Source organism: Homo sapiens, chromosome 1 (genome assembly GCF_000001405.40).
Source record: "Homo sapiens chromosome 1, GRCh38.p14 Primary Assembly".
NCBI classification, from domain to species: domain Eukaryota; kingdom Metazoa; phylum Chordata; class Mammalia; order Primates; family Hominidae; genus Homo; species Homo sapiens.
This window is the reverse complement of record NC_000001.11, coordinates 208,015,385-208,028,821: the sequence shown is the minus strand read 5'-3', so window position 1 is coordinate 208,028,821 and position 13,437 is coordinate 208,015,385. Positions and strand designations below refer to the sequence as shown.

At 47.1% G+C, this 13,437-nt stretch overlaps 1 protein-coding gene across 2 annotated transcripts in view; it reads left to right on the top strand.

Annotated features, from left to right (window-relative positions):
- The window catches only part of PLXNA2 (plexin A2), a 222,143-nt gene extending 215,563 nt beyond the window's left edge, over nucleotides 1–6,580 (top strand). For both annotated transcript variants that reach the window (NM_025179.4, XM_005273164.4), the window contains 2 exons: nucleotides 663–813; nucleotides 1,484–6,580. In NM_025179.4, the coding sequence (NP_079455.3) occupies nucleotides 663–813; nucleotides 1,484–1,579 (247 nt within the window). In that variant the 3' untranslated portion in view covers nucleotides 1,580–6,580. The remainder of the gene's footprint in view (nucleotides 1–662; nucleotides 814–1,483) is intronic.
- Nucleotides 6,581–13,437: the final 6,857 nt, after the last annotated feature.

Here is a 13,437-nt window from a genome sequence, read left to right as displayed (position 1 = left end):
CACCCTCAGGACAGGCCCATGCCCTTGTCTCCCTGCCCATTCCCCGCTCTATAGTCATCACTGACTAAGGACTCAGACGACGGTGTCTGTCATCTCTTCAGGACCTCCCACTCCCCTCCCTGCCACACCCCCTGCTGCGGGAGGAAGGGTGGCTTTGTGCCCGTGGAAGTCAGATGATTATCATCCTAATTACTATTCATTGAGCATGTGCTAAGCATTCAGCATTCTGATAAAGATTTTGTGTGTATCATCTCATTAAAATGTCCAGCAGAGTTGTGAAGCCAGTATTATTATTATCCCCATTTTACTGATAAGGAAACTGAGGTACAGAGAGGGTAAATAACTTGCCCTGCGTCACACAGCTAGCAGGTAGCAGAGCTGGGATTTGAACACAAAGAGCCTGGTGAGAGTCTGGGCTTTTAACCACTCTGTTGGGCACCGCAGCCACGAGCTCTCGGCTAGATGGAATCTACTGAAGAAACTCTGGCCTTCAGCCTCAACCTCAGCATGAAGCAAGAGGCCAGAGGAAGCCACATCAGAAGAGAAATAGGGAGGCAGGAGCAACTGGGTACATCAGTGCCCTCGAAGGACCTGGGCCCGGGGTAGCTATAGGTAAATGTTTGCTGAGGCCTCCACCAAGGCGCCTATCCTGTCTCTGGCAGATACTACGCAGACATCGCCAAGCTCCCAGCCATCAGTGACCAGGACATGAATGCCTACCTCGCCGAGCAGTCCCGCCTGCACGCCGTGGAGTTCAACATGCTGAGTGCCCTCAATGAGATCTACTCCTATGTCAGCAAGTATAGTGAGGAGGTGAGACAGGGCCCCAGCAGGGACAGAAACCAACAGGCAAGGAGCAGGAAGCCTGACTCAGTCCTTAAATAGATGGCAATTTAGAAAACACATTCAGGGAGTCAGAAGCCCATGAGCTCGAAAATTATCATTCCTTTATGAGGCAACTCAACTCCTGATTCACTGAAGGCTTTATACACTTCATTGTCTTTCACTCATTGTTAACACAATAAATAACACTTTTAATCATTTGTTTTTCAGTTCAAAGTATGGTATAATTAATTTCATTCTCTCTTAATGAATCAAACTATTCTTTGCATTCGGGCAGATCCTGTCAGTTACATTTCAGATAGACAGGTGGACCCTAATATGAATAGAGATTGATTAGGATACCTTTGGAAAACTCACAAAGCTTCTTTAGCATTGAACGTGAAAGTAGTAGTAGTAGTAGCAATAATTAACACTTGCATAGCACTTCCTATGCCAGAGAATGTTTGAAACACCATACATACATACATATATATAGGTGTGTGTGCATGTATTCATTCAGTTAATCATTTAAATTATTTAAGGTTATGTGCATGAAGGCAGAATGGAAAGGTAGACAGAGGGCAAAGAGGGAACGACTCCAGAAAATGGTGTCTTCTATTCTGAGTCCTGAAGTCTTCCTGCCTTTGTTTTTGCTCCTCAGCTCATCGGGGCCCTAGAGCAGGATGAGCAGGCACGGCGGCAGCGGCTGGCTTATAAGGTGGAGCAGCTCATTAATGCCATGTCCATTGAGAGCTGAGAGGAGGAGCCTCGCATTCCTGGGAAGAGGGACCTGTCCAAGCTGTCACACTGGGAGTCTCAGATGGAAGGACAAGTGATGGGGATCAGGCCCCAGAGCTTGCTGTCCCCTGAGACCCCATCCTGGGGAGAGGGGAGGACTCCTCTCCCTACGCCAGCCAAGTTTCGTCATAGCCAGTTCCAGCTGGGAGAGACAGTGGGCGTCGTCCATCCTCAGTGAGAACACCAGAGAACCCGGGGCCGGGAGAAGGTGGTTCTTCAAGCCGAGAGGCACGAGCTGGGGACAGTTCTGCCTCTGTGACTGCTGCTTTGCATGAAAACTCATTTGATGTATATTGGGGAAATAATGAGAACTTTATTTAATTTTTTTAAGAAAAAGGGAAAAAAACAGAAATAAAACAAAAAGCCGCCCTGTTAATCCCGTCCAACTTTTGTTTAATTCTGATTTCTGTCTCCCTTCCATCTTTTCTCCCATTCCTCCTTCTTTATATAATGCCTATTTCCAAATGCCAGAGAAAGCAGAGATGCTGAGAGACATTGGAGAGAAAATGACTGTCTCCTTTTCCTTGAAATTAAAAAAAAAAAAAAAAAGAGAAAGAGGAGAAGAAGAATGATGAGCACAAGTATGCACCAAACACTTCGCAAAAACAGAGGCCAGTAAAACCTGGAATTATCCCGGCAGCCAGAGGAGTATGGAACTTCCAGAACTTTGCACAAATTGCAAAGCCATCAAGAGCTCACCCTGGCTGACTGGAAACTGAGCTTTATCTACCACACACCTGTATATTCTCATCTTTTGAGAGGAGATGTGTACCTAGATAGTACCAATGCTTTTTGCTACTGTTTTTTGTTTTGTTTTATTTAATCCTAAACCTCAACAAATGAGGAGCTGGTCTTTGATATGTTTCCTTTCAATTTCCCTAAAGTTACTATGAGAAGTGGGGTGAGGTGGGCCTCTCCCAGACCAGACACCTGGCAGCCCTGCCTCATATCAATCCCTGTCATAAACCAGGCACCCTGGGGAAACGGCCTGGAGGTGTGTGGGCCAGGCCTCCACGAGGTTCCATTTGAAAGTTGATTTGGAGACATAGGTGTTTGACTTTGGAGTTCACTCCAATCATCCAGTGGTCCCTGGCAATTAAAAAGAAAACAAAAATCAAACACTGTTTACAGCAAGCAATACTTGAAGAGCATAGGTTACAGAAGCTGCAGTATTTATTATTATGCTTTCTTTCTTTCATTCTCTCGTGCCTGGAGAGGGGAGACCACCCTTCGCTCATATACGGAAGCTCCTGACCATCTGGGCCTACAGCACTTCCTCAGTAGAAATGACTGTGGCATGCCCACGTTACTACCTTCTGCCTCTCTTTCTGCCTCTCACGGACTTGTGAGTGTGAAGGACAAGTGGATGACTTCTCACTGGACTTTCCTTCTCTGTCTCTTCTGATGATGCCTAAAACTATGGATAACCAATTCTCCTGAGTGTAGATTCCAAACAAAGAGACCAAAGCTCCATGCCCAGGTCCAAAGGCCCCATAGAAGCCAGTGGGAGTCATCGAGAGGAAAGGCGCTCTGTGAGTGTCAGGACCTTGGTGGCCAGGATAGCCATCAGAGTGTCCAGGCCTCCCACATTACCTTGGATCCGAGCAGCCAGCTCCAACTGTTCTGCAAGCAGCACTGGAGTCAGGGGGTAGGAGGACAAGTGGAAGCAAAGGTGTGGGACTGGGGAAGACAAAGAGGAACAAGCTGCCCTTCCTCACTTTTCAAAGGGTCAGGAATCCTAGGCTATGATGCTGGGAAGCTAGACCAGCTCCTCCAAGAGAGACTAGACCAGGGTCATTTTCTCTGTTATTAACTCTGGGCTCCAGCTTCTCCGTGCCCTGCTTTACCTCCAAGTGGTTCCAATTTCCAAAGGCCCTGCTGACCACATGTGATTCCCAGGAGAGGGCTGGGGGAGGGGAGCGCAGAGGTCTGGCTTCCATCCTTGGCGTGTAGCTTTGGATCGCTGTCTAACCACACAGCAGACGTTGCCCGGTCTCCCCAGCTCTAGTTTCTTGCCTGAATGCGGCTGACAAATGGGAAGAGAAAAGCATTCAGCAAAATACTCAGGAAACTTGCTGTTTTCATTATAATTCACAACCAGCCATGCCAAGGCCACTTTCTTTTGAAAATCCACTTCTTTAAAGTTTCTCAGGCCCTATTAGTAGCCTGAAGGAAATACTAATGACTGGCCTTCCGCACTAAGCCAAAGTGTTTGCTCTTCATAGCACTCAAAGCTTATCAGCGCAGAGCCCATAATTTATGGAGATAAAAGGAAAGGAGATATAGGTAAGAAGAGTGTGACCAGGAGACCTTATGCTACCTGTAAAAAAGTTCAGCCCACCCCATCTAACTTCTGAGCTCTGTTTGGGTGAAGATTTTCTGGCCGCATGGCTGCTCAGACTGGCATCCAGGCTTTGCTCCACCAAGAAGTTAAAGGCAGTCGGACATCTCAGTAGCATCTCTACCAGCCCTTAACTCAATGCATCTACCTGGCATCTCCCAGCAGTTACTTTTGGAGACGATTCACTGCCCCTGGGGCGTTTCCTTGAAGGTTTGTGGAGAGCGTGGAGAATGATGGGGCAATGGCCAATTGGAGGGTGGAGAGTGAAGAGCCGGAGCTGGCTGTGAGTGGTTTGGCCACATTTCTCAGGATTCCATGAGAGACTTGGGGAACTTGGGCTGACAAAGGAAGTAGCCTGGGGCATCCTTAAGGAAGGAATTAAGAAAAGGGAAAAAGCTGGACTCAAGCCACGCCATGAGGGTGAAAGGTTATAAGGCCCTGCCCCCTTTCCAGCTGCCCACCTGTTCCTCCTCCACACCTCTTCGCTTTGGGCCACCAAGAACCAATGAAGTCCACACCCTTTGGATGAGAAAAAGAGGGAGTTGGTTGGCCTCTCTTCTCCCTGTTATCCAATTTGAGGATATTTTGACCTTGGGTAAGGATGAAGTGTTAAAGCCACAGCTCCTCTCCACAAGAAGCCATTCATCTTGGGGGAGGCAGAGAGGGAAGTCTCTCTCCAAAGTCTATCCAGCTTCGCTTCGTTTCATTGATCTGCACAAGAGACAATGCTCTGGAAAAGGAAGAGGACCCCAGAAGGGTGCTTGGCAAGACAGAGGATGCTAATGGGCAATGGAGAGCACTCCCTCCAGCTGGCCCCTGCTGCTGCCTCCCGTCCTCTGCATGGGGTCAGGTGCTTCTGTGCTTGCTGTCCTACCTCTCTCCACAGCAGGGCTCTCAAAACCATTTTGATCCCCCATTGGCAGAGGGTTCCCCTCTTTACAGAGTTCAGTCATTAAAAGCATGGATCAGCTGTTAATCTCATTGGAGGAGGGAACTGTTTCCTGCATTCATTCATCTGGGAACCTTCTTGAGTAGCCACTGTCTGCCAGCCACTGCTCTAGAGATGGGAAAACAGCACGGAACAAAACCAAGGTCTTTCTTCCAGCGAATTTATATCCTTCAGGAAGCTGGTTCCTGCCACCAACTTAGCAGGCAACAGTTCTCCTCCCCTAGTGGCACAGGGTACCAGTTTTGTAGGAAAAGTGGTCCAGCAAAGGAAGAAAGCAGACCAACCCAGCTGCCTTACCTTATTCTGGGGCCATTCCCCCAGCGATGAGAGCTGCTCTTGTTTCTACTGCCACCATCTCTTCTGGCTGCACTTCACCTGCTGCTTGAGCTTCTGACCTTCCTTCAGTTCCACCAAATGAGGACAGGAAATAGCAGTCAAGACCCCTGGCCCTGCTGAGCGTGAAACAGAAGCAATGGATGAGTGCTGGACGAAGAATGGCCTGGGCAGAACAAATAGGGAGCATTTGAAAGCTTCTGGCTGATAAATCTCCAGGTGCATCCCGGTTGCCACGCCTGCCCCCATTAACCTGCTCCTGGTAAATACTGATCCAGCAGCTGCTCCAGGAGAGGCCGTCTTTTTTTCCCAGCCACGCTGTGTCTTGCATGAGACTCCTGGGGCCTGGGCACAGAGAGAAAAGAATTGAGACTCAGGAGGCTCAGTGGGTGAGAAAATGCAAAGTGGCTTCACAGACACAGGGCTGTGGGAGCAGATCGACGGGGAACTTGGGAGATGAACTTCAGGGCCTTCCGACGCCTTGTCTCAGGAACATGCTTTGAGAAAAATGGTAGCATCCTTTCCATAACTCAGTCTCTCTTCCCTAGTTTCCCTGAAGTGTGACGTTTTAGTATCTGGAGCTCAGTGATCCCCATGAATGAGGGATAAAGTTTCACTCTTGGTATTTTCTAACTAGTGCTAGGGAAAGTCCTGAGACACGATCACAGCCACTGCTTGGCATACAGGGCCTCCACCCAATAAGCAAACTGGAGATTCCTCAGCCTCTCGTGGACACCCACATCTCATTCTTCTCACAGCAGAGAAGCTCTCCCTTCAGCCTGAGCTGTCTTCTTTCTGCTGCAGTGCAGCCTGCTCCCTCCTACCCTGGCCTCAAGGAAGGTAGGAAACATCTTCTGCATTTCAAAGTCCTCACTTTGACTTATTTGGCCTTCATCTTGGCATGGAAGGTGGCAGGCAGAATGGAAATACTCCCCCCAAACAGAACAGATATTCTTGCGTGTGTAAGGGCAGAAGGGACAAGCTCTCTATCCCATGAGACTAGGGGCCGGAGCCCACCTGCCTTTCCCCACAACTTTTCCTGCTCAAACCCACTCCTCTTGACACACTGGAATCTGTATTATATATATTTTTAAGAAAATACAATGATGGTTGTCTGGTTTTGTTGTTTTTACAGGTGTTGTGGAATAAAAACTGTAAGAAAATTAAGTATTTAAAATGTTCCAATAAAGTGGGGTTTTTTGTTATTCTAATATATTATTGTGTACCTATTGTAAATATGAAACACTCCTATTTTGCAAGCTGAGGACACAATTTGTACTGTTGTTATATATAAATAAAGTTTACTGAATTAAAAAAACCTTAAATCTTTAAATAAACCCGATTGTTCAGCAGCATATATGCAGAATAACATTTTAAGGGCATATTTAAGAATGGTACTCATGGAAATATGAGCTAAGTTGTTTTGAGGGAGTTTTAGAATTCTCTCTGGAGCCAGAGCTTATTAATGTACCAGTCATCATCATCAACATAACACACACACACACACACACACACACACACACACACACACACACACACACACACACACACGAGATACCGTGGCTTATACCAGCAGGTGAACACTGCCCCCTAGCCCCAAGACCTCAGAATACAGCTTTCCTCCAACTGGAGGCAGCTAGTGTACTCCATGAGTTAGGACCCCTTCCCAGGAGAGAAGGGAGGTCTCAGAAGAATGAGATCCTCCTCTGCCTCCATGCTTAATACATGTTCTTCATGTGTTTGTACATTCATGTATACAAAGTGCATTCTTGTGCTTGTACAAAACGTATTAAGCACGGCCTGGCACTGTGGTAAGTGCTGGGGGATAACATAATAAGTGAGAAAGACATGATCCTTGTCCTCATCAACCTTTTAGTGTAGTGAAAAGCATAGGCTTGCTTAAAAAGGAATGTTTCACCATGCCTTGAGAAGGGGTTTTATGGTTGCTTTTTTTTGGTCATTTTCAGTTAAAGGATTAAAGGTAAATAAAGGGAAAGATGCCAGATAGTGTGTGCTTTTAGATCCAGTGCAGGTAAGACAAGAAGGCGGGCCCTGCCTAGGGGAGAACAGTAGCTGGGCAGACAAAGTCCAGAGGCAGCAGAAACATCACAATTCCACAGTAAGCCTGAGAGGTAGGGAATTGATCTTAGGACTCCTAATCCTTAGGGGTCCCTTAACCCTAGGAGGTCATGCCTCCTCCCCTCCTCTGTACTTTCATCTATTTTACGTTCTGGTGTTCCAACATGTGTGGGTGACACTTCTTCTCTCTGGTAAGAGAAATAGATGAGAATAACTCAAGTATCCATCTGACATCTCAACTGAGCATGCAAGCAAACTGCTGCTCACTATTTCCATGATAATGGGACCAGGAGAGTTCTGGGTCTTCAACCTTATACCAGGCACTAAGAGTAGAGCCTCCTGAAGGATGAGGTGCAGGCCCTGCCTTCAGAGTGCCTCCAGTCTAACATGGACAGCCAACACACAAGGGAGAATGGGGCCTGGGACTTGTAAAACAAAACATGTAAACAAGTGCATGTTGGTAAACATAGTGTGTGCTTACAGCTTCAAAGAGATCATAATTGGGAAGATTGTTAGTCCCGACTTAGCAGCCTCTGAGTTCACAGTGTTTGTGGGTCCCCCATCCACACCGCACACATGTACACACACACACCCTTCCCAGATGGAATGGAGAGATGCAAAAGCTGGTCCTGAGGGTGAGAAAAATGCAAACATAACACCATGAGGAGTCAGGAGGAGAGGAGAAGAGTGCAGTGCTGAGGTCTGCATGTAATTAGTGTGTCATTTTCAACAACACAGTGGGCCTCAGGCCTGGGGAGTGCACCCTTGGGCCTGGGGAGTGCACCAGAGCTTTTTACTAACTTTAAACCATCCTCCTCTTCTCTCTGAAATGCAAACCTAGAACCCTGGAGGCACTCGAGTGTCTAGCAGTGAAAAATGTGTCTTTTCTCAGTAAAAGCAACAATATGGCCCTGGTGAGCTCCAATGTGGGACAGAGCAGTTAGATGAGTCTTGCCTCTGTCACTGCCTGACTGGGCTCCTGGCTTCACAAGAGGCTGGGATACAGGGAAATTTGGACAGAGGAGGACGTTTCTCAGTACAGGATCCTTACTTCCCTGAGTTTTCTCCAATCTTCTTGCTGCTCCCCTCACCCCACCGCCATCTGTCCCCTCAACAACTTGGACTTAGGGTATCCCTATTATTAAATACCTGCTGCAGAAACTACCATCCTCTGGCAAGGAAGCAAAGGAAGAGGATGGAAGCTACCAGGTGGTCTGTCTTGTTCACTGTCGTATTCCCAGAACAGAGCACAGACCCTGGCCCACAGCAGATGCCCCTTGAGTATGTTCTGAATAAACAGATGATGGAATGAATGGAACTTGGGAACCACCTACCAAATGCCAGGCTCTGGAACATCCTCCCTTGTAGGCTTCTCATGCTCACATGATAAGAGTTTTCCATTTTTTAGTCTGAGATTCAGAGAGGTTAAGGGACTTACTTAAGACTGCACAGTTACAAAGTGGTAGAGCCACAGAGGTCTGATTCCAGACTTCACATTGCACAGGCTTTTTCCACTGCACTTTCCACACTACCTTTCATTAGCTCTAGAACCATTGAATACTTGGAAGTCCACCCCAGAAATGGATCCTTCCTCTTGTAACAAGAAGATCCTATGGAGACACTCTTCCTCATTCACCAATAGTCATGTTTGTTCAATGCAATTGATATCTCTTCCTCACTTGCTATGAGCATGACACTAGACTAGGTACTATTAGGAACACAAAGGGAGGGAAAAGCTAAGTCCTGAAGTTGCAGCTTTCCCTGGGTTTACACTCTAATGCCAATACCAAATCATTATTCTATAAGAAAAAGATTCATCCCTTTTATTAGGGGTATTTCTATCTCATTTTTACCACAAATGCAAAATAATTTTGCCAAACTGTGTCAGTAGAATTCTCAGAGACCTATTTTCCTCAATTTGAGGGTAAAACCTGCATGATAAGACACTCAAGAGAATTTAGGGAGATGGGTGCTGCTGATTGTCTGCGCTTGATCATATCAACACCACGAGCTGCCAAACATCTCAGCTCAGCAAGTGAGCTGAAAGACAGAGGAGGCTTCCACCTGTCAGCAGCCAAATGAGCAGCCCACCAAAGCACATGCACAGAAATTTCTACTGCATGTAATTGCATTCATCTTATTCCTGGCTTTGCTTTATGTCTCTGTCTCATTTATCTTGATTCCTCACCCCTACTCCTTTCTAATTGCTAGGTTTCATGTATCCCCTGCTAAGAGCATAAGCTTTGGATTCCGATTGCCTCGGGTTGAATTCCATCCTCAAGCTGTATGGTCTGGGGCAAGTTATATAACCTCTCTGTGCATCAATTTTCAAATCAATAAAATGAGGATAATAATATGCATCCAATAAGGTTTTTATATGGGTTAAATAAGGTAATGTATGTAATGGACTAAGTATTACAATAGGTAAATGAGCAGGAGAGAGAATGAACCATACATCCTTCTTTTTTTTTTTTTTTTTTTTGAGATGGAGTCTTGCTGTGTCACCCAGGCTGGAGTGCTGTGGCGTGATCTCGGCTCACTGCAAGCTCCACCTCCTGGGTTCACGCCATTCTCCTGCCTCAGCCTCCTGAGTAGCTGGGACTACAGGCACCCGCCAGCACGCCCGGCTAATTTTTTGTATTTTTTTGTATTTTTAGTAGAGACGGGGTTTCACCATGTTAGCCAGGATGGTCCCGATCTCCTGACCTCATGATCCGCCCGCCTCGGTCTCCCAAAGTGCTGGGATTACAGGCTTCAGCCACTGCACCCAGCCACCATACATCCTTCTTTTACAGGCAGCCCAGGAGGACCTACAGGCAGGAATTGATGAGCATCTCCATCTGACTGTGGGAAGAAGTTGAATTAATAGAAGTTTTGGAGATGAAAGTTGGTGCCTGAGAGTTAAGTCCTTAGGAGACTAGTCATGGATGCTAACATAGGAAAATAGAAGATGAATCAAGGTTTCACCCAATGGCAGAACCAGCTATGAACCTGCCAGTGAACATGCTATAGGTAAATGGGAAGTGGCAGACAGAAGTGGATCAAGCCTAATTTCCATGTGCTAAGGCCACAGACAGGGCTCAGTTGGCTACAAGAGTCTGTTGATGGCCTCCTGAAAGCATGCCCAGATCAAGGGTCTGAAAAGGATTTGGGGCCTACTAGGAAAGGTAGTTCTTCACCCTGAGAGCCAGAGGGCAGGGCCAGCCCACAGGCAGAGGATAACAGCAACAGAGGGGAGCAAAGAGGCTGGAGGCAGAGGGCACAGAAGGACCCCAGAAGGACTATTCCCAGCAAGAAGTCAAGGAAGTGGAGTAGGAAACGGGCTGGAGCACTCACCAGACCTGAGAGGGGGATTCACCTATCTCCCCTCAGGAGGAGTCTGGGCACCTCCACACTGAGCTGGTTTTAGGTAAGTGTATTAGTCAGGGTTTTCCAGAGAAACAAAACCAGTAAACCAATAGGGTGTGTGTGTGTGTGTGTGTGTGTGTGTGTGTGTGTGTGTGTGTGTGTGTGTAAGGGGGTGGAGATTTTAAAGAATTGGCTCATGCAATCATGGGAGCTAGCAAGTCTGAAATCTGCAGGTCAGGCTGGCTAAAAATTCCTGCAAAAGTTGATGATGCAGCCTTGAGTACAAAAGCAGTCTAGAGGGAGAATTTCTTCTTCGGGAAACTTCAGTCTTTTTCCCTTAAGGTCTTCAACTGTTGATGAGGCCCACTCACATTTTAGAGGGTGAACTGCTTTACTCAAAGTCTACAGATTGTAAATATTAATCACATCTAAAAAATACCTTCGTAGAAACATCTAGACTGGTATTTGATCAAAAAACTGGGCACTGTAGTCTAGCCAAGTTGATACATAAAATTAACCATCACAGGGAGGAAAAGACCAGTCAATCCGTTCATCGAACGCTGAAACTAAATGAAGTGCCTGTGATCCTTAAATCTATTCACTTTGATGATTTCTTGTCTGGTTTCTTTTGCCCTTAGTCTCTGAGTAGAAGATGCTTTTGAACGATCCTAACCTTTACTGGGTAACCAAAGAAGAAGAGGAACAGACATCAATGGGTATGGAGGGCCCTTGAGAGGCAGAGAGGGTACTGGCTCCAGATCAGGGAAGTGGACGACTCTTGGACTCATCATGGGAAATAATAAGAGGGAAAATCTGGAAGCCATCCCCCATCTGGTTTTCTTCCAGAAATCATTAATGTCTGAATTATCCCAGCCCATTTAGAAGAGCCCCACCTAAGAGGCAAACACCAGAAAACCAGTAAACAACAAAAACATATGGCTGGTTATTTAATCCTCCTGAATTGGGCAGTACTCCAATCTTCCTGATCCATCCTCCCAGGCTCCTCTCTCTTTGGTTCTCCCATCTTCATGTGGCTCCATTTTGCAGGTTCTAATTGCCATCACAGGTGTCCCTAACTTCCATGACCCATTTTAGAAAAGCTCACCTGGAACTCTCCTTTTGCCACAATCATTATCATCATCCTCTAGCATGCTGCAGCACCCAAAAGTGCCCCTGGCCCCACAGAAGAGCCTACAGTGCCACACACTGGAGGGTAAGAAGGGAGGCTCCCCAGCCTGACGGTACCTGACTTCTCCTCTGCCTGGCACTGACCCTGAGTGATTTTAAAGGCCACAGGATCTTTTCAGAGCTGAGATGTGGGTGACTTCATGAACCCTGAGCTTCAGTGGCTGTGGGAACCCAGCTCGTGCCCCTCCTCATTTGAGGCAGCCCTTGGTTTTCATTTCAACTCCATTTCCCTGTTCGAATGGTAAGGATGCTGAGGGAGAATGGAAGCACACATTGTCACTCCTCTTGGCCATTTCCCCAAAAATGTTTTTCTTCCACCTTAAGGAGTCTCCCTGGTCATTTGTTTATTTAACTAAATCTTTAGCGAGTCACTTATATGCTCTGCTGTGTGCTAAGCAGAAAGGTCCAGGACCTGACCTCTTACTCTTGTGAGCTTCCCTGGCAGTGATGTTCATCTGGTAGCAATGATTTAGTGTGTCTATTGCACTTTCATTGTGTAACCAGCACTGTGGTTAGCACCTCACAGACATGATCTGATTGTCTCCTATGAAGGCCAGAGGAAACAACTGGCATTCACTCCCATTTTAGAGATGGGGAAACTGAGGCTCAGAGAGATTATATAACAAATCTAAAATCACACAGAGGTCAGCGACATCCTTAGGATTTGACCAGATCTTCACAAGCTGTGGATTCAGTGGCCATGAAGAAAGGCCCGTTGCTCTTTGGGGCTCAGGGTAGGGCTGTTCCCTGTTTGAGCACATAGTGACCAAAGCAGAATGGCTCTTCCTGCTCACAGCCAGCCTGTGACAGCAGCACTGGCCCTCTGGCCCCTCCCAGCCAGAGCTAGGACAAGACACAGAAATCCACAAGACTCTTGGAGAAGTGGGTCCTGTTGCTGAGTCAATGTCCTCAGCAATCGGCCCCTGCCACTGGGCCTGTCTCCTCCTAAAGCCCTATCTGCTACTAAACCACTTGAGTGGCCTTGGCAAAGCCTTTTTCTTTGCTCAATTTCAGCTTTCTCCTTCATAAATTGAAGGGACTTCGAAAAGATCAGTAGTTTCCAACTTTGTATCAAAGAAAGGCTCACACAGAATCCAGATCCAAGTGCAGTTACACTGATGGAAACAGATGGGAAGGCAAGGCCCTACTCACTCCACCTTCCCTTCCCACACCAGGCCTCCCTTGACCTTGCCCCCACTCCCTGTGTTGGGCCCTGTATGCCTCTGCACAACCCTACGGCTCCATGGAATGCTACTGGTTCTCTAAGGTCCCACCTGGTTCTGAAAGTCTACCACCCTCCCTGTCAGGCAGGGGGCCTCTGACCACAGCTGAGATATAGGCCACATTACGAGAAGTGTCCAGGTCAAACTGGAATTAGTGTCCTAGGGTTCCAAGCCGCACCCTGCCCCGGTTACACTTGCCCCCTGTGCCTGTGTCTTGGTTTGCTTTGAGTCTTCTGTGAACTGAGACAGAAATAGAGCAAGGTGGTGAGATAATTACGACAGGTCAAACAGTCCACAGACTCTGCCAGCACAGAATAGCAACATGGTGATGACTCTGGCCTGTTCCAAGAGCAGCT